The sequence below is a fragment of the Homo sapiens genome, chromosome 22 (assembly GCF_000001405.40).
Source record: "Homo sapiens chromosome 22, GRCh38.p14 Primary Assembly".
Classification (NCBI taxonomy): Eukaryota; Metazoa; Chordata; class Mammalia; order Primates; family Hominidae; genus Homo; species Homo sapiens.
The window spans coordinates 40519693-40539195 of NC_000022.11; the positions used below are offsets into that span (position 1 = coordinate 40519693).

The window sequence follows — 19503 nt, forward strand, 5'->3', positions numbered from 1 at the left end:
CCACTCATGGGTTCTGAAAAGCACAATAATGGAGTCAGGCTAGTACAAACGCCTAAGAGCAAAGTCTGAGTGAAAGTGATCAATCTAGTTTCACTTTGGAAACTGGATAGAAACTAGCAACGGAAGTCAGACTCTATGAGGTAATTTTTGCAATAGTTGTTGGCCTTATAATTAATAAGAGATAAGATAATTTTAACCTAAAGGTCATTTTAAGCTTACAACAACTAGAGATAATTTTATTATAAGTTTTAAAAACTAACTTTATTGAACTTCAATTCAGACACAATAAACTTCACCTAGTGTACAATTCAAAGCGTTCTGACAATTGCATATGCCTGTATAACCACGACAATAAAGAGATATATTTTCATCCCTAGGGTTTTCTTGTGTCCCTTTGTATTCAATTTCTCCTTCCACTTCCAGCCCCAGGCAATCACTGATCTGCTGTCACTCTAGAGAAACCTGAATTTTTTTCCTCACACAATTTAAAAAATTGAGATACAATTCACATACTATAAAATTCAACCATTCAAAGTGCATAATTCCATAGTTTATCGCAACTAATTCCAGAACATTTTCATTGCCCCAAAAATAAACCCTGTATCCATCAGCAGTCACTCTCCATTTCCTGTTCTGGACATTTCATTTAAATGGAATCACACAATATGTGGCCTTTTATGTCTATGTCCTTTCATTTGGAAAATGTTTTTAAGGTTCATCATTTTTTTTTTTAAGACGAGTCTCGTTCTGTCACCCAGGCTAGAGTGCAAGTGGCTTGATCCCCGTTCACTGCAACCTCCATCTCCCAGGTTCAAGCGACTGTTGTGCCTCAGCCTCCCGAGTAGCTGAGACTATAGGCACATGCCACCAGCCTGGCTAATTTTTCTGTATTTTTAGTAGACATAGGTTTCGCCATGTTGCCCAGGCTGGTCTCAAACTCCTGGGCTCAAGCGATCCACCTGCCTTGGCCTCCCAAAGTACTGGGATTATAGGCATAAGCCACCACACAAGGCCAAGGTTCATTCATTTTATAACATATATCAACAGTGATTTCTTTTTATGAGTGAATAATATTCCATTGTATGGATATACCATATTTTGTTTATTCATCAACTGAAAGACATGTGGGTTGTTTCCACTTTTTAGCTATTTTGAAAAAGCTGCTATGAACATTTGTCTGTGTAAAAATACACAGACAAATGTTTTCAGTTTTCTAGGATATATATCTAGAAGTAGAATTGCTAGGTCACAGGATCTATGTTTAACTTTTTGAAAAGCTGCCAAATTGTAGTTTTTAAACTTTTCATTCTGAGATAATTATAGATTCACATAATAAGAAATAATAAACAGCTCATGTATAAACTTTTCATTCTGAGATAATTATAGATTCACATAATAAATAATACAAAGAGCTCATGTATCCTTTACTCAGTTCCCTCCAATGATAACATCTTGCAAAACTACAGTACAATATTACAACCAGAATACTGGCACTGTTAGTCAACATACACATTTCCATCACCCTGAGGATCCCTCATGTTGACCTTTTATAGCCACATCTACTTTCAGCCCCACACCATCCACAGGCCCTGACAATATGAAGAACCAATCTGTGCTTCATATCTATAATTTTGTCATTTCAAGAATGTTATATAAATAGAATCATACAATAGGTAACATTTTAGGATTGGCTTTTTTCACTCAGAGTAATTCTCAAGAGTCATTCAGGGTGTTTTATTTCTAAAACGTTTAAAGTTTGCCCCTTTTTAAAAGTTGCTGAGCAGTATCCCACAGCCTGAATTAATTAATTAATTAATTAATTATGAGACAGAGTCTCACTCTGTCACCCAGGCTGGAATGCAGGGGTGCAATCTTGGCTCACTGCAACCTCTGCCTCCTGGGTTCAAGCAATTCTCCTGCCTCAGCTTCCCAAGTAGCTGGGACTATGTGTGCCCGCTACCACGCCTGGCCAATTTTTGTATTTTAGTATAGATAGGGTTTTACCATGTTGGCCAGGCTGGTCTCCAACTCCTGATCGCAAGCGATCCACCCACCTTGACCTCACAAAGGGCTGGGATTACAGGCATGAGCCACCACACCCGGCCTCAAATGAATTTTTGGGATGGTACAAGGTAAGAGTCAATGTTCCCTCTCTCTCTCTCCTTTTTTTTTTTTTAAGACGGAGTCTTGTTCTGTTGGCCAGGCTGGAGTGCACTGGCACAATCTCGGTTCACTGCAACCTCCGCCTCCCAGGTTCAAGCGATTCTCCTGCCTCAGCCTCCTGCGTAGCTGGGATTACAGGCGCACGCCACCACGCCCAGCTAATTTTTGTATTTTTAGTAGAGACGGGGTTTCACCATGTTGGTTGGCCAGGATGGTCTCGATCTCCTGACTTCGTGATCCACCCACCTCGGCCTCCCAAAGTGTTGGGATTACAGGCGTGAGACACTGCACCCAGCCCTCTCTTAATTTTTTTAACATACAGATAGCCAGTTCTTTCCTGATTTGTAAGTTTTTATTTAAACCAGAGTTAGAAAAATAATTAAAATAACACTACCTCTAAACACTCAAAACCACTGCTATGACATAATCCTGCCATTTCAGTAGAACAGAAAATCCCCACGCCTTCCCCTCAGCTCGGAGGGCACAGGACTGGGCAGCAAGCTCCACCAGTTTGTAGAAGGAGTTCAACTTCCAGACAGCAGGGAAATGCCTTTCTCTGAAGTTATTACATGAGTTCACACTGAAGGGAAAGAAGAAAGTGAGCCTTATCATTTTCCCAAGATGCTGTGAGATGTGTTGGATTTACTCTCACTCATAATTGTGCAGGATGGTTGTTTTGTTTTGTTTTGAGGCAGGGTCTCACTCTGTCACCCAGGCTGGAGTGCAGTGGTGTGGTCTCAATTCACTGCAACCTCTGCCTCCAGGGTTCAAGCAATTCTCCTGCCTCCGCCTCCCGAGTAGCTAGAGTCACAGGTGTGCACCACCATGCCTTGCTAATTTTTGTATTTTTAGCAGAGATGGGGTTTCATCATGTTGGCCAGGCTGGACTCCAACTCCTGACCTGAAGTGATCCGCCCCCCTCAACCTCCCAAAGTGCTGGGATTACAGACGTGAGCCACTGTGCCTAGCCACAGGTATGTTCGGGATGGTTTCAACCAACATCAATAGAACCAACTAAGAATAGATGGCCTTCAGCAACACAGAGGGGTAGCACAGGAGTTCCAAAGATCAGTAGTTTGAAAATCAGGTCACAGGGAGTCCACGCTATATGATCTTGGGTAAGTCACTTAACATTCTTAGCCCCCCGTCTGTTCACCTGTAAAACCAAGGTTTGTTATCAGGTCATGTCTAAGATCCTTCCCAGTTAAACATTCTAGAATGCCAAAAATAAGCCTATTTGTTCTTTCTTTGAAAAATGAAGAAAAATGGCAAAAAAAAAAAAAAGTTGTCAAATTGTGAACGTTTATCTAACACAGAGAACTATACCAGGAGCAGGTTTTCTTTTTTGTTTCCTGTTTTACCCTATTCTTCCATACTAATTAGACATCATATAAATCCCACATATAAATCCAACACATCTCATAGCATCTTGGGAAATAAAAATAAAATATCTTTTGGAACTGAACTTCTCAACTTTAATATGCATGTGACAATCTTTTTTTTGAGATAGGGTCTCACTTTGTGGCCCAGCTGGAATACCGTGGTGCAAACACGGTTCACTGCAGCCTTGACCTCCCAAATTCAAGTGAGCCTCCCACTTCAGCCCCCTAAGTATCTGGGACTACAGGTGTGTATCACCATGCCTGCCTAATTTTTGCATTTTTTGTAGAGATGAGGTTTCACCATGTTGCCTAGGCTGGTCTCAAACTTCTGACATCAAGCAATCTGCCCACCCTGGCCTCCCAAAGTGTTGGGATTACAGCTGTGAGCCACTGCACCCGGCAAATAATCTTTTTAAAACAGATTGTGATTCCGCAGGTCTGAGGTGGCGTCTGAGATTCTGCATTCCTAATAGGCTTCCAGGTGATACAAAGGCTGCCAGACCTTGGAACATACTTTGAGTAGCAAGGTATTAGAAGAATACGGACATAGTATCTGTTTGAGTAACCTAATTAATGTTGATACCTAAGTTTTCAGTACTTTACATAACCAAATAAATTAGTCTTATGGCACTGATTTGAGGAATATAATCTTATCGATTCCCAAGAGAATATACTAAGAAAACAGTTCAAAAAATCAAGTTTAATTAATATTTTAGTTCCTCAAGATCCTATTTGCAAGGAAAAACAGAAAAACAGAAAATCAGAAAGATACAGCATCATGAATTGTTAAGGACAATTTTCACACCCTATAGTCAATGAGCAAAATATATTGCAGAAATGCACTTTCAAAAAATTAAAACAGGCTGGGCAACATAGTGAAAACCTGTCTCTCATTAAAAAAAATTTTTTTAGCTGGGCCTAGTGATGTGCACTTGCAGTCCCAGCTACTCAGGAATCTGTGGTGGGAGGACCACCTGAGCCTGGGGAGGTCCAGCCTGCAATGAGCTGTGATTATGCCACTGCACTCCACCCTGGGCAGCAGAGTGAGACCCTGGCTCAAAAATAAAAGCTACACAAAAAAATAATTAAAACATTGTATACTAACACCACCATTTTATGCCTACAACAAATCAGATTATTCTTACCCAACAAAAGCAAACAAAAAATTTAACGTGTTGTTTTTTGACAGAAAACTTCTGAGAGGTTCAGCAAATTGAGAGTAAATGAGTGTACACAGGAAGGAGCCACAGCTCTGCCAAGAACATGGCCTAACACAAACACTGCAAAGATAAATTTCAATAAGTCTTACAAAATAGAAACAAAGGCAAAAATGTAAAAGAGATTTATACAAACTCAACTGGTCAGAGGGAACAGTTTAATGAGATGGAGTGCCTCCTTATCATGCAGTATTTGGTCAGTGGAGGGAGCACTTTGACTGCAGAGGTTCCAAATTAACAGCTCTATCTCCTAATCATTATGCTTCCATCCATCTTCTTCCTCTTTTAACTGTACCTACCTGTGTATGTGCATACACACAATTTAACATAAGCTTTATTTATTTTTGTGCGTGTGCGTGTGTATGTTTTTGAGACAGAGTTTTGCTCTTGTCACCCATGCTGGAGTGCAATGTCGCAATCTCGGCTCACTGCAACCTCCACCTCCCAGGTTCAAGCAATTCTCCTGCCTCGGCCTCCCAAGTAGCTGGGATTACAAGCATGGGCCACCACACCCAGCTAATTTTTTTGTATTTTTAGTAGAGATGGGGTTTCGCCATACTGGCCAGGCTGGTCTTAAACTCCTGGCCTCAAGTGATCCGCCCGCCCCAGCCTCCCAAAATGCTGGGATTACAGGGGTGAGTCACTGTGCCCAGCCAACATAAGCTTTATTGGAATACAAAAGAAATGTATGCTCATCATAGAAAATCAGAAAGATACAGGAAAACCCAAAAGATGGAAAAAATATAATGTCCCCTATGAAATCTCACTACTCAGAGAAAGTTATTCATATTCTGGTGTATAGCCTCAAAGCCACTTTTCTAGAATTATAGAGATAAGTGGTAAACATTATTCCACATTTTAAAAATTATTTTAAAAAATTTTTTGTAAAGATGGAATCTTGCTATGTTGCCCAGGCTGGTCTTGAACTCCTGGGTTAGACAGGAAGCTGTCGGGGAGGTTTGCTTGAGCCCGGGAGACAGAGGTTACAGTGAGCCGAGATCCCACCACTGCACTCCAGCAGGGGGCGACAGAGCAAGACCCTGTCTCACAAAAAAATTATAAAAATATAAAAAACCAAAACTACAATGTACACTTATGAAAGAACAACAGTAAGAAAGGGAAATTACATTTTAGTATAAATACATAAAATTTTGATTCATACCCACTGAAAATGTTTCAAGGACACCTAGGGGTCCTCAGACCACACTTTGAAAACAATGCTCTATACTGTAGTGCCTCTTCAGTTAGGGCACGCTATACAAATATTTACAAGGCATGGTCTCAGGAACATACTTAACCTAAAAAATATCCTAATGATTTTGCTAAATCACCCATTCAACAATTATTAAGTGCTTACAATACACGAAGTATTCTTATACACAAGGCAGAGAATCAAAGAGGAAAAAAAAAATCCTCCTTGTGGCACTTACATTCTACGAAGAGACAGCCACAACCAATAAACAAATGAACTATCTATTCTGCAAATAAGTGGTATGAAGGAAAATAAAAGCAAGGTTTTACAAAATAGGATGGTCAGGGAGTGCGCCTAACTAAAAAAGTAACTTTTTTTTTTTTTTAAGAGACATGGTCTTGCTCTGTCACCCAGGCTGGAGTGCAGTGGCACAGTCATAGCTCACTGCCACCTCAAATTCTTGGGCTCAACTGATCCTCCCCACTCAGCCTCCTGTGTAGCTGGTACTACAAGCACATGCCATCATGCCTGGCTAATTTGTTGTTGTTGTTGTTGTTGTTGCTGTTTCACAGAGACAGCATCTCACCATGATGCCCGACTAGCCTTGAACTCCTGGCTTCAAGTGATCCTCCCCATTCGGCCTCCCAAAGCGCTGGGATTATAGGTGTGAGCCACCATAACAGGCCCAAAAGTAACATCTGATCAAAAATCTCAAGGTGATGCGGGAACAAGCCATGAGGCTACTCAGGGAAACGTGCTCTAAATAGAAGGAATAACAAGTACAAAAGCCCTGATATGCGAGCTAAGGTGCTCAGGGACAACAAACAAAGCCAATATGGTTGGGGTAAAACAAGCAAGGGAGAGAAGAGAAGCAGATAAAATAAGAGTTACAAAGCAGTTCATGTGGGACTTTGTAGACGAGTATAAGGACTGTGGCTTTTTCAGTGAATGAGAATAACTGGCAGGTTCTGAGCAAGGAGGGATATGACCTGATTAATTTTAAATGGATAATGTAATCGTGTTTAAACTCAAAAAGCTGAATTAAACACCTGTTCCATCTCTTACTGTGTGTCCTTAAGCTTTTGAACCTCAGTTTCCTCTGTAAATTGTGAAGATACAGACACTGCAAAAAGTTGTTGTGAAAATCAAACAATATACCTAAGGCTAAGGGGATTATGAGCAGTGGCTCACACCTGTAATCCTAATACCTTGGGAGGCAGAGGTGGGAGGACTGCTTGAGCTCAGGAGTTTGAGACCAGCTTGGGCAACACACCAAGATCTCATTCCCACAAAAAATAAAAAACTTATTGGGGCAGGGGAGGAGAAAAAAAATACTGGGGTGCAGCGGTACACGCCTGTGGTCCAGCTACTCGGGAGGCTGAGATGGGAGGATTGCTTGAGCCAGGAAGGTTGAGTCTGCAGTGAACCATGATCACACTACTGCACTCTAGCCTAGATGACAGAGCAAGACCTCGCCTCAAAGATACACACACACACACACACACACACACAAATACTTTTAAATTATGACAGACTATAAAAATTTCACTACTGAGTTTGTTTGCACTATGTAGTTGTCACATAGTCCTCTTTTCTAGGCCCTCTATACTCACCATACTGCCACCATCAGCCATTTATGCGACTTTGCCATGAGATTAATGCCCCAGACCTCTGATACCATGAGCTCAGCCTGATACTGCCCTTTAGCTTGACGAGTGCAAGGCAAAGAAAGTGGAGTTTTTTTTTTTTGTCATTGATGGCAGAGTGGTTTTTTAGCATTATTTTCCTTGTCGTTATAAAGAAAATCTTTTTAAAAAATAATGCATGTGGGCCAGGCGCAGTGGCTCACGTCTGTAATCCCAGCACTTTGGGAGGCTGAGGTGGGCAGATCACGAAGTTAGGAGATCGAGACTATCCTGGCTAACACAGTGAAACCCTGTCTCTACTAAAAATACAAAAAAAATTAGCCGGGCATGGTGGTGGGCGCCTGTAGTCCCAGCTACTTGGGAGGCTGAGGCAGGAGAATGGAGTGAACCCAGGAGGTGGAGCTTGCAGTGAGCCGAGATCGCATCACTGCACTCCAGCCTGGGTGACAGAGCAAGACTCCATCTTAAAAAAAAAAAAAAAAAAGCATGTGGTAATCATAAAAGTGAAGTTCCAAAAAAACAAGACTTTATGAGTCTCGTCTTTATTTAATTTGGCACTGTTTTAATAAAGCTAAAACTGTAGTTCTTGGTCTTGACAGCTTGCCTCATCCAAAAAGAAACAAAAAGGAGGAAAAAAAAAGATGCAGACTGACAAATGAATTCAAATTTCTTTGATCCGCGTCCTAACTCTAAGGGGACTTCAGATAAATCAATGAGTCACAGAAGGGGCAGGAAGATGTAAGCCAGAATACTGATGACAACAGCTGTCTGTCTACCTACCTGTCTTCTGAGATCATCATTAAAGTATGAGATCACCAAGACCAGGGAATACAGAGTAAGATAAGATGGAGGCCCACTGGAGAATTATGAGGCCTGTCGCATTCTGACTCCACTTCCCAGCGGGTGGAAGGTGAATACCCAGGCACTGGTTTTTATCTCCACCTCCTAAGATGTGAGTCATTCTGAGTAGTGACAGAATCCTGCAATGGAAAAGCCCAAAGAAAACCAAGATCTTTGGGAAAAATTATAAACAATCTCATTTATTAGAGGCCTCTGATGGTTTCTTTGAAATGGGTAAATTTCCTCATCTTAAAGTGGAGGGCAAGAATTTTCTACCTAAGGTTTCTCTCAAACTCTAAAATCCCTTAAATATAAAACTAAGTGGCCAGGCGTGGTGGCTCACACCTGTAATCCCAGCACTTTTGGAGGCAGAGGCGGGCGGATCACCTGAGGTCAGGAATTCGAGACCAGCCTGACCAACATGGAGAAACCCCGTCTCTACTAAAAATACAAAATCAGCAGGGCATGGTGGTACATGCCTGTAATCCCAGCTACTCAGGAGGCTGAGGCAGGAGAATCGCTTGAACTCGGGAGGTGGAGGCTGCGGTGAGCCGAGATCGTGCTATTGCACTCCAGACTGGGCAATAAGAGTGAAACTCTGCTTCAAAAAAAAAAAAAAAAAAAGTATGTTTTTTTAAAGGCTACATTAATATTTAGAGCAAGCTTGCCCATCCTGCAGCCTAGGATGGCTTGAATGTGGCCCAACACAAATTTGTAAACTTTCTTAAAACATTATGAGATTCTTTTTTTTTGCAATTTTTTAAAAGCTCATCAGCTATCGTTAGTGTTAATGTATTCCAAGACAATTCTTCTTCTTCCATTGTAGCCCTTGCCAAAAGATTTAGAGCATTAAGAGATCCAAAAAGTAGGTATTGCTAGTGCAATCTGGAGTTTTTCGTCAGTTCTACAGACCTGTGAGTGATGTGAACCCAAATGGGGCACCTTCCTTAAAGAATTAACATACTATCAAAAAGGGAAAAACTTATATGTCCACAATCTGCCCTATGATACTTCCTTTTAACCTCATTTTTATTAATTGCCACTCCCCTCTTGACCCATACTATTCTAAAACATACAGTGCAGAAACAAACTGTAATGATTAGGGAAATAGAAGTTAAAAAAATGCAGGAATTTTAAGTACACAGGTATCAAGGAAAAGAGAGACTAAATGGACTGAAGAAATATTTTATTTTTATTTTTTTGAGATGGAATCTTGCTGTGTCGCCCTGGCTGGAGTGCAGTGGTGCGATCTCGGCTCACCGCAACCTCCACCTCCTGGGTTCAAGAGATTCCCCTGCCTCAGCTTCCCAAGTAGCTGGAATTACAGGCACCCACCACCATGCCCGGCTAACTTTTGTATTTTTAGTAGAGATGGGGTTTCACCATGTTGGCAAGGCTGGTCTCGAACTCCTGACCTCAAGTGATTTGCCCACTTCAGCTTCCCAAAGTGCTGAAGAAATATTTTTAATAATAAAACAAATATTTTCAAATAGATAACATGTATGTGGTATAAAACCAAAAAGATTTTAAAGTACACAGTTTAAAAGCATTTTCTGAAGGATAAATCAAACAGAACACTTAGAAAACTTGAGTGTATAGGTTGTGCTGTATTTCTTAGGCTGGTTAGTAGGTGTGCATTAATCAAATCTTATAATACTTTATATATTCTTTGGCATTTATGGAGTACTCTAATAATCATAACAACAAAAAGTCTCTTCCACCCCAGTCCCCCAGTTCTCTATTCCCCTTTATTGAGGCAGCCAGGGTTACCAGCTTCTGTGGTCCTTCCAGAGACATCCTGTGCATGGACAAATGTGTGGGTGTGCATACATACATGCACAAGACAGAGAGAGAAAAAACAAAGTGACTCCCTAACTATGCCTCATTAAGATCAGATTTATGTCGTGGGACCAAAGCATACCTAAGGAACTGTCTCAACTGTTTTCTCTACAAGTGAATTCTGTCCTGCTGTTGTTATAACTAAGAGGACTGCACTAGATGGATACACCTTAGGGCCTGTCTAGTCAAAGCCTTACACATTAGCTGTCAAGAGCCAAGTCCTAGCATTTCTCCATTCTAAAACACACCAGAGTCAGTACCATGCCCCAATATTCCCTAAGACTTAGCTTCTGAAATTCCATAATGTCCATCTTATTTGTTTTGTTGTTTTTGTTTTTGTTTTGAGGCAGGGTCTCGCTCTGTCGCCCAGGCTGGAGTGCAGTGGCACAATCTCAGCTCACTGCAGCCTCTGCCTCCCAGGTTCAAGCAATTCTCCTGCCTCAGCCCCCCAAGTAGCTGGGACTACAGACATGCACCACCACACCTGGCTAATTTCTGTATTTTTAGTAGAGATGGGGTTTCACCATGTTGGCCAGGCTTGTCTTGAACTCCTGACCTCAAATGATCCACCTGCCTCGGCTTCCTAAAGTGCTGGGATTACAGGCGTGCGCCACCGCGCCCGGCCCCATAATGTCCATCTTAGATCATTAATTATCTAAACAAAATGATTCAGATATGTTTCCATAGTAGTGAGAAAAGCTCTAACTGTGGTTTGATTAGAACACTTAGATTCAGCAATAAACATCACAGGCAGACATGACATACTGCACATTCTGAGATGCAGAAGAATTCCAACTTTGAAAGCTATTTTTCAACAACATCTGCTTTGGACAAGGATTGGCTAAAATACAGGATGGTGGGTAGAAGATTCATTTCTTAATATAAGAACAGATCTCAAAATACTTCGATAAAATCTTGATTTAAAAGCTTATACTTATCAGGGAAAGTATGACAATCCAAATTTCATCACTCTCATTCATTCAAAAATACTAAGTACCATGTGCCAGTATCAGAAGCCAATATATAGATTAATATATTGCCCTTGAGAAGCTAATAATCTAATTAGGAAGACATATACATCTGGCTGGTTCCAAAGGACCAGTAAGAGACCACCAGCAGTGAGGAGGATGAAAGTTTTATTTTTTGAGACAGAATCTTGCTCTGTCGCCCCAGTTGGAGTAGAATGGCATGATCATAGCTTGTTGCAGCCTCGACCTCCTGGGCTCAATCGATCCTCCCACCTCAGCTTCCCAAGTAGCTCTGACTACAGGTGGGCACCATCATACCTGGCTTTTTTTTTTTTTTTTTTTTTTTAATTTTTTGTAGAGATGGGTCTTGAACTCTTGGGCTTAAGCGATCCTCCTGCCTCAGCCTCCTGAAGTGTTGGGATTACAGGTGTGAGCCACCATGCCAGGCCTGAAAGTTTGTATATAACATACATGAACATGTCTCACCAAAACCCCCAAGCTCCAAATATTCAAATGAAAATTGTTCATAAATATAAAACATACCCTGGAACTTTGCTATCATATTCAATATCCTGAAGTTTTATTTAGGGTAAAACTTTCCATCCTGAATTCTGTCAACAAGGTTTAGTTACTTTAAAACTCTCATTAAATAGCAGTCTCACCTATAAAGCATATATTCATATAGGTTAAAATATTCTATTGCTAGAAAACCTATGGCTCATGTTTATCTACTGATAAAGCCCAAAAGTCTTGACTTTTCAGAGAATGGCTTTTAGTTCACTGAGGCTTCATAACAGATGCTTTTTCATTTCCTATCATAAAGAGAGACAGTATTTTACTATACAGCTGTCATATTACTGTTACAATCCAGCTAATGGCTACAGCACTTCAGAACAAAACAGTAGCAATTTTACAAAACCAACACATTGTTAATGTTTTTGATCATATAGGAGACAGGTACTGGAGATATCAGTTTGCTATTACCCTTTCTATATCCAGAGTCTCTCCACTTTTACGAACATAAACAAAAGAAAGAAGTCCACATACACGCTACAGCAGACCCTTCATTCTACCTGCATCCAACACTCTTGTCAATTTCATTTCACCTACTATCATCCTTTGAAAGTTTTATGAAGTAGCTGGTCCAACAGATGGGTGGCTAGCCCTGCCCAACACATGACGAAGGAAAAACAGCTCTTAGCAAGCAAGACAAGAAAATATTAAGTATGTCCCTTTCCCTCTCAAGGCTGAGAACACTGAGACTACCTGAGAAGAAAGCAAACAATCTTTTAACCTTTATAAAGAAAAGTTACTGGACTGAGATGATCTGTAAGTAACAAGGTGATTTTAAAAAGGGAGAGAGTTCAAATGCTAAAATCTACCCCTCAAGATAAAACAGGCACTTGCCCACACATAGCAGAGAACTGGAATAGACAGGAAAAATAAATAAATCCAAATTAGTTTAACTGGGAGCTTTTTCATCAAAGACAGATGGGAAACATTCAGATAAGCACACTATCTTGTTTAGAACACAAAGCTCAATAGATCTGTAGGAGGAAAAGGAAAGGCAACCTGAAACACATAGCCTATATGCATAAAAAATGACTCATTATGGTCATATTAGTAAAACCAGAAAGAACAAAATGGTAGTGGTATCTGTCTTCTTTGCCCCTTCCCTGATCATAAGCTTTATTAACCAGATAGCATCTGATCCTGTCTTCAACTGATGTATATCTGTCTTTCAACATACTACCTAAAATGCTCCCCAAGGAAAACAGTGAGACCAATTCTGCCAGAGACAGTATCTGCCAGAACCAAGAAGTCTTATTTTCCTTTGAGTGAAAGCCAGTGGATGGGGAAGAGGTCCCCAAATGCCACTTGTCTGAATCTTTTAAGATATGCTCTGAAACAAGAAAACACTACAGATTACATTTTAGTAGAGATCTAAAAATAGCAAAAGAACATTCCCTATTTTTAGATATCTGACTTCCAAGTGTAAAAACACTAAAAGTAAAAGAAACCACTGAAAACTAACTATATTTTTAAAAGGGTTTTAAAAACTCTGAATTGGAAAACTGTTTTTAGAGATAAAATTTCAAAAATCCTCCCCTGTGTTGACTGACTCTTTGCTCAAACTTACCCATCTCCAAAATTTAGTCCTAATCCTATGTGTTATTAAGGGCATTTCCACAGAACCAAAAGATGGTACAGAAAGGTTATACCACAAACAAGAAAGAACAGCTAAGAAAAAAAATTTAAAGATGCTTTCATAAAAACATAGAGTCTAGACTAGTGATTAAAGACAACAATGTATAAAACAGCAAAGCAATTTAATTGTCTTTCATTTAAAACAGTGCCACAGACAATACAACACTTGATTAAAGAAGACAAAGAGTTTTTTTTCTCAAACAGGTCTCCGCAACTGAATAATCTTAAAACCAGTAACCATCTAATTCAAAGCTGTCAGAATAACTAGAATTTGCAATGAGAGAAAAATTAATAAAAAACTGAAAATGCAGTACATTTCTTCCTCCCCATTTCTGTCCACTCCTAGTACAAATATGACCCATTTTTTTTAAAGAAGCCTGTGGCAAATAAGATTTGTAGGAAATTATTAGCAAGTTAGGAAATTAGGATTTATGTGAATTACCTGACTGTACTGCCATCATTAACATCTCAGGTTCCAGTAGAGTCATGACGGATTCTTCCAGAAACAAAAATCCACAAATATAATGAAGAAAGTCAAAGTCACAGGAGAAAAGCTGTCTTGAAAGCTTTCACAAATTCAATCTGATGCCTTATGCTCAAATCAGACTGTGAGAATATCCCCTTCTCAGTGCAGTTACCAATTTATCCACCCTTCAGGCGAGTCAAGATGACACAGATTTGAATTACTGCCGACAGGAAACCAAAAAGCTCTCCAGTTAAGACATACTAAGTGTGGTTAGAACAGTGAGCAAGCTCCTCCCCTTGCTATTCGTCTCTGGGGGAGGGGAGAGACATATATAAAGAGACTTTCAGAAAACAGATCAACTGCTTTTTTCCTCTCAAGAAGAGAAGATGAGGTTTTGTTCAAAATCCCACTATAAGAGACTGCTGTTAATGCAGTTTAGTGGAACAGATTAAACACAATCCAAACAACTCAAGCTCATGAAAGAAGCAGTCCAATTACTGACCCATTGATGAGAGGTGGGGAAGAAGATTAAACACATATAAACACATATATACAAAATGTAAGCTCCATAAATTTTCTGAAAAAGAATTCCAACGGCTTTTTTATATGTGGTATTTATAGATAACAGGCTAAGGAAGTTGAACATTTAACTACAGAAGCTCAACTATTTCTCCACCCCCACTCCAATTAAAATATCTGTTTCAAAAAGTCATCTGAATACATTCCAGAGCTGTAATCTGTCTTTCAGATCTGTCAGTCCCCTAAAAGAGCCTCTTACTTGTGCCTATATTAGACATACGGTCTGTGAATAGACAGTATACTGATGTTATTTGATTTCATTTACTTTTTTTGTATGTTTGAGACAGGGTCTCACTCCGTTGCCCAGACTGGAATGCAGTGGTGCAAATGTGGCTTACTGCAACCTCGACCTTCCAGGCTCAAGTGCTCCTCCCACCTCAGCCTCCTGAGTAGCTGGTCTCAAACTCCTAGGCTCAAGCGATCTGCCCACCTTAGCCTCACAAAGTGCTGGGATTACAGGCATGAGCCACTGCTCCCCACAGCACCTTTCATTAACTGATATTCATAACAATGATATTAAGATTACTTTCAGTCTATCTGACTGAATTTTTTAAAGTTGGAAACTAAGAATCCATGTTTGGTGTGTTTATCTAGAATTCTTCAATCTTTCTCGTTAACTATCAGCCTGTATGTGAAAGCTGGCTGCTGCCAATAGCCCAGCGAATACCTTAATGCTTACATAGTAAACAAATGGTAAATAAAAGCAGTAGGAGACCTTAAGAGAGAAAATAGTCTCAGAATGACTGAAGGCAATATTTTGTTATTAGTAAAGAGAAGCAATGCAAATTTGGGGTGAGGGAGACTCAGTACAAGAGAGAAAAACTTCCTTCCTTTCTCACTCCAAGAACATCATGTTTAAAAGAAAAGCCAGAAAAGCTCTATATAGAACTGTGGGAATGACTCAACAGGCAATGAGTAGCAGCCAGTGTGGGCTAAATGCTGCTCTGGGAAAGCAGAAGCATCTCACTGGCCCCTTCTGGCAACCAAATTTTCAAACTGACTTAGGAAAAACGGGTAAATTTCAACTTTGAGTCTACATGACAGTCTGGTCAAAGGTTAGCAACTAAGGGAAAAGCATCCCTAAAAGGTTGAGAAGATTGAGTCATTCCTTGGTCCTTATGTGGGCTGTATAATTTGCTGTGTGAGAGGTTTTTTCTTTTTTTTTTTTTTTTTCTTTTTGAGACTAGGTCTCACTCTGTCCCCCAGACTGAGTACAATGGCATGATCTCAGGTCACTGCAGCCTCAACCTCCCAAGTTCAAGCGATCCTCCTACCTCAGCCTCCCAAGTAGCTGGGACTACAGGCATATGCCACCACACCCAGCTAACTTTTGTATTTTTAGTAAAGATGGGGTTTCACCATGTTGCCCAGGCTGGTCTCGAACTCCTAAGCTCAAGTGATCCCCCTGCCTCAGCTACCCAAAGTGTTGGGATTACAGGCCTGAACCACCACACCTGGTCTTTGTTAAATTTACTTTGTCTCTCTAGTAATGAGGGTTTTCAAATGAAACAAGTTTTCACAGTTCGGTATTTACAGGAAAATAAATATAAACTTTAAGATTCCTGCACAGAAGATGGTAGGAAGGGCAGAGGGCTGGCTGTCTCCCTCCTGCCAAAACTGTTCGCCATAGAAGAGAGCATGTAATGCCACAGTGTCAATACTCCAGCACCACAGGAGATATTGAGAGTCATGTGATAGGAATAACAAATAAACATAACATCTCAGTTGATTTGACTTTTTCTTAGCAATTCCACACCCACTATCTCACTGGCACTTTGAGGTAAAAAGACCTAAATAAAAGAAAAACAATTTTTTAAACAGTAATCTTTAAAAAATTAAACAAGAAGCACTTACTTTCGTAGGCCAAACGGGAGGGTGGGTTGAAACTAGAAGTTAGAGACCAGGTTGGGCAACATGGCAAGACCCCATCTCTACCAAAAAAAAAAAAAAGAAAAAGAAAAAAAGCCAGGTATGGTGATGCCTGTCTGTAGTCCCAGCTACTTGGGAGGTTGAGGCAGGAGGATCACTTGGGCCCAGGAGTTCCAGGCTACAGTGAGCTGTGATCACCCCACTAAACTCCAGCCTGGGCAACAGAGCAAGACCCTGTCTCAATAAATAAATAAATGGGCCGAAGCCGCCGCCGCCCGACCGCCGGGAGGATGGAGTTCAGCGGGCAGCGGAGCTGTCTCAGTCTTTGCCGCGGCGCCGGCGAGCGCCGCCCGGGAGGCAGCGGCTGGAGGAGCGGACGGGCCCCGCGGGGCCCGAGGGCAAGGAGCAGCCGCCTGCCTTGGCCTCCCAAAGTGCCGAGATTGCAGCCTCTGCCCGGCCGCCACCCCGTCTGGGAAGTGAGGAGTGTCTCTGCCTGGCCGCCCATCGTCTGGGATGTGAGGAGCCCCTCTGCCTGGCTGCCCAGTCTGGAAAGTGAGGAGCGTCTCCGCCCGGCCGCCATCCCATCTAGGAAGTGAGGAGCGCCTCTTCCCAGCCGCCATCACATCTAGGAAGTGAGGAGCGTCTCTGCCCGGCCGCCCATCGTCTGAGATGTGGGGAGCGCCTCTGCCCCGCCGCCCCATCTGGGATGTGAGGAGCGCCTCTGCCCGGCCGAGACCCCGTCTGGGAGGTGAGGAGCGTCTCTGCCCGGCCGCCCCGTCTGAGAAGTGAGGAGACCCTCTGCCTGGCAACCACCCCGTCTGAGAAGTGAGGAGCCCCTCCGCCCGGCAGCCGCCCCGTCTGAGAAGTGAGGAGCCTCTCCACCCGGCAGCCACCCCATCTGGGAAGTGAGGAGCGTCTCCGCCCGGCAGCCACCCCGTCCGGGAGGGAGGTGGGGGGGGGTCAGCCCCCCCGCCCGGCCAGCCGCCCCGTCCGGGAGGAGGTGGGGGGTCAGTCCCCCGCCTGGCCAGCCGTGCCGTCCGGGAGGGAGGTGGGGGGGTCAGCCCCCCGCCCGGCCAGCCGCCACGTCCGGGAGGTGAGGGGCGCCTCTGCCCGGCCGCCCCTACTGGGAAGTGAGGAGCCCCTCAGCCCGGCCAGCCACCCCGTCCGGGAGGGAGGTGGGGGGGTCAGCCCTCCGCCCGGCCAGCCGCCCCGTCTGGGAGGTGAGGGGCGCCTCTGCCCGGCCGCCCCTACTGGGAAGTGAGGAGCCCCTCTGCCCGGCCAGCCGCCCCGTCCGGGAGGGAGGTGGGGGGGTCAGCCCCCCGCCCGGCCAGCCGCCCTGTCCGGGAGGGAGGTGGGGGGGTCAGCCCTCCGCTGGGCCAGCCGCCCCGTCTGGGAGGTGAGGGGCGCCTCTGCCCGGCCGCCCCTACTGGGAAGTGAGGAGCCCCTCTGCCCGGCCAGCCGCCCCGTCCGGGAGGGAGGTGGGGGGGTCAGCCCCCCGCCCGGCCAGCCGCCCTGTCCGGGAGGGAGGTGGGGGGGTCAGCCCTCCGCTGGGCCAGCCGCCCCGTCTGGGAGGTGAGGGGCGCCTCTGCCCGGCCGCCCCTACTGGGAAGTGAGGAGCCCCTCAGCCCGGCCAGCCACCCCGTCCGGGAGGGAGATGGGGGGGTCAGCCCCCCCACCCGGCCAGTCACCCCGTCCGGGAGGGAGGTGGGGGGGTCAGCCCCCCGCCTGGCCAGCCGCCCCGTCCGGGAGGGAGGTGGGGGGGTCAGCCCTCCGCCCGGCCAGCCGCCCCGTCTGGGAGGTGAGGGGCGCCTCTGCCCGGCCGCCCCTACTGGGAAGTGAGGAGCCCCTCTGCCCGGCCAGCCGCCCCGTCCGGGAGGGAGGTGGGGGGGTCAGCCCCCCGCCCGGCCAGCCGCCCCGTCCGGGAGGTGAGGGGCGCCTCTGCCCGGCCGCCCCTACTGGGAAGTGAGGAGCCCCTCTGCCCGGCCACCACCCCGTCTGGGAGGTGTGCCCAACAGCTCATTGAGAACGGGCCAGGATGACAATGGCGGCTTTGTGGAATAGAAAGGCGGGAAAGGTGGGGAAAAGATTGAGAAATCGGATGGTTGCCGTGTCTGTGTAGAAAGAAGTAGACATGGGAGACTTTTCATTTTGTTCTGCACTAAGAAAAATTCCTCTGCCTTGGGATCCTGCTGATCTGTGACCTTACCCCCAACCCTGTGCTCTCTGAAACATGTGCTGTGTCCACTCAGGGTTAAATGGATTAAGGGCGGTGCAAGATGTGCTTTGTTAAACAGATGCTTGAAGGCAGCATGCTCGTTAAGAGTCATCACCAATCCCTAATCTCAAGCAATCAGGGACACAAACACTGCAGAAGGCCGCAGGGTCCTCTGCCTAGGAAAACCAGAGACCTTTGTTCACTTGTTTATCTGCTGACCTTCCCTCCACTATTGTCCCATGACCCTGCCAAATCCCCCTCTGTGAGAAACACCCAAGAATTATCAATAAAAAAATAAATTAAAAAAAAAATTAAACAAGAAGCAATGTAATCTTTCCCAATTGCTAAGATTTTGCATTTACTCTCAAGAGTATTAGCACAGCAACATTCATTGTGAAAACAGACTTTAAAATAAATTTCACAATTCTAAAAGTCTGAACCCCTGTGAAAGCTTCAGTTCCATTATTTTTTGTGCAAATTAGTAACACTTCATAGAAAAAGAACTAAAGTAAACTTTAACAAGGGCTCTGCACAAATGAAGATGACTTCAAGTTAATAGCACTAAGGAAATGAGAGATAATGATCTTAATTTCCAATAGAACAAAAGGTTTGCTTCTAATCCTAACTAGCTAATCAACACAAATTTGATATGATCTACAGTCTCTATTAATTCACTCTAAAGGGACATTATACTGCAGGATACACAGCCTTTTGTTTTTTTTTTTTTTTTTTTTTTGAGACAAAGTCTCACTCTGCCACTCAGGCTAAAATGCAGTGGCACAATCTCGGCTCACTGCAACCTCCGCCTCCCAGGTTCAAGTGATTCTCATACCTCAGCCTCCCAAGTAGCTGGGATTACAGTCGCCCACCACCACACCTGGCTAATTTTTATATATATTTTTAGTTGAGATGGGGTTTC

The 19503-nt window shown here is 43.6% G+C and overlaps 1 protein-coding gene and 1 long non-coding RNA gene across 5 annotated transcripts in view; one reads left to right on the forward strand and one right to left on the reverse strand.

Annotated features, from left to right (window-relative positions):
* Positions 1-19503, reverse strand: part of MRTFA (myocardin related transcription factor A) — a 226431-nt gene that overhangs the window by 109404 nt on the left and 97524 nt on the right. Inside the window, exon 1 of one of the 4 annotated variants that reach the window (NM_001318139.2) lies at positions 13898-14135. The exons of the other annotated variants lie outside the window; for them this stretch is intronic. Within the exon in view, the coding sequence (NP_001305068.1) occupies positions 13898-13943 (46 nt within the window). The 5' untranslated portion in view covers positions 13944-14135. Of the gene's footprint in view, positions 1-13897; positions 14136-19503 lie in introns of those variants that run through there. 4 annotated transcript variants of the gene reach the window in all.
* Positions 2108-7015, forward strand: MRTFA-AS1 (MRTFA antisense RNA 1). The gene is made up of 4 exons (NR_109965.1): positions 2108-3281; positions 3674-3748; positions 3833-4026; positions 6527-7015. It is a non-coding gene; the product is annotated as an MRTFA antisense RNA 1 (long non-coding RNA).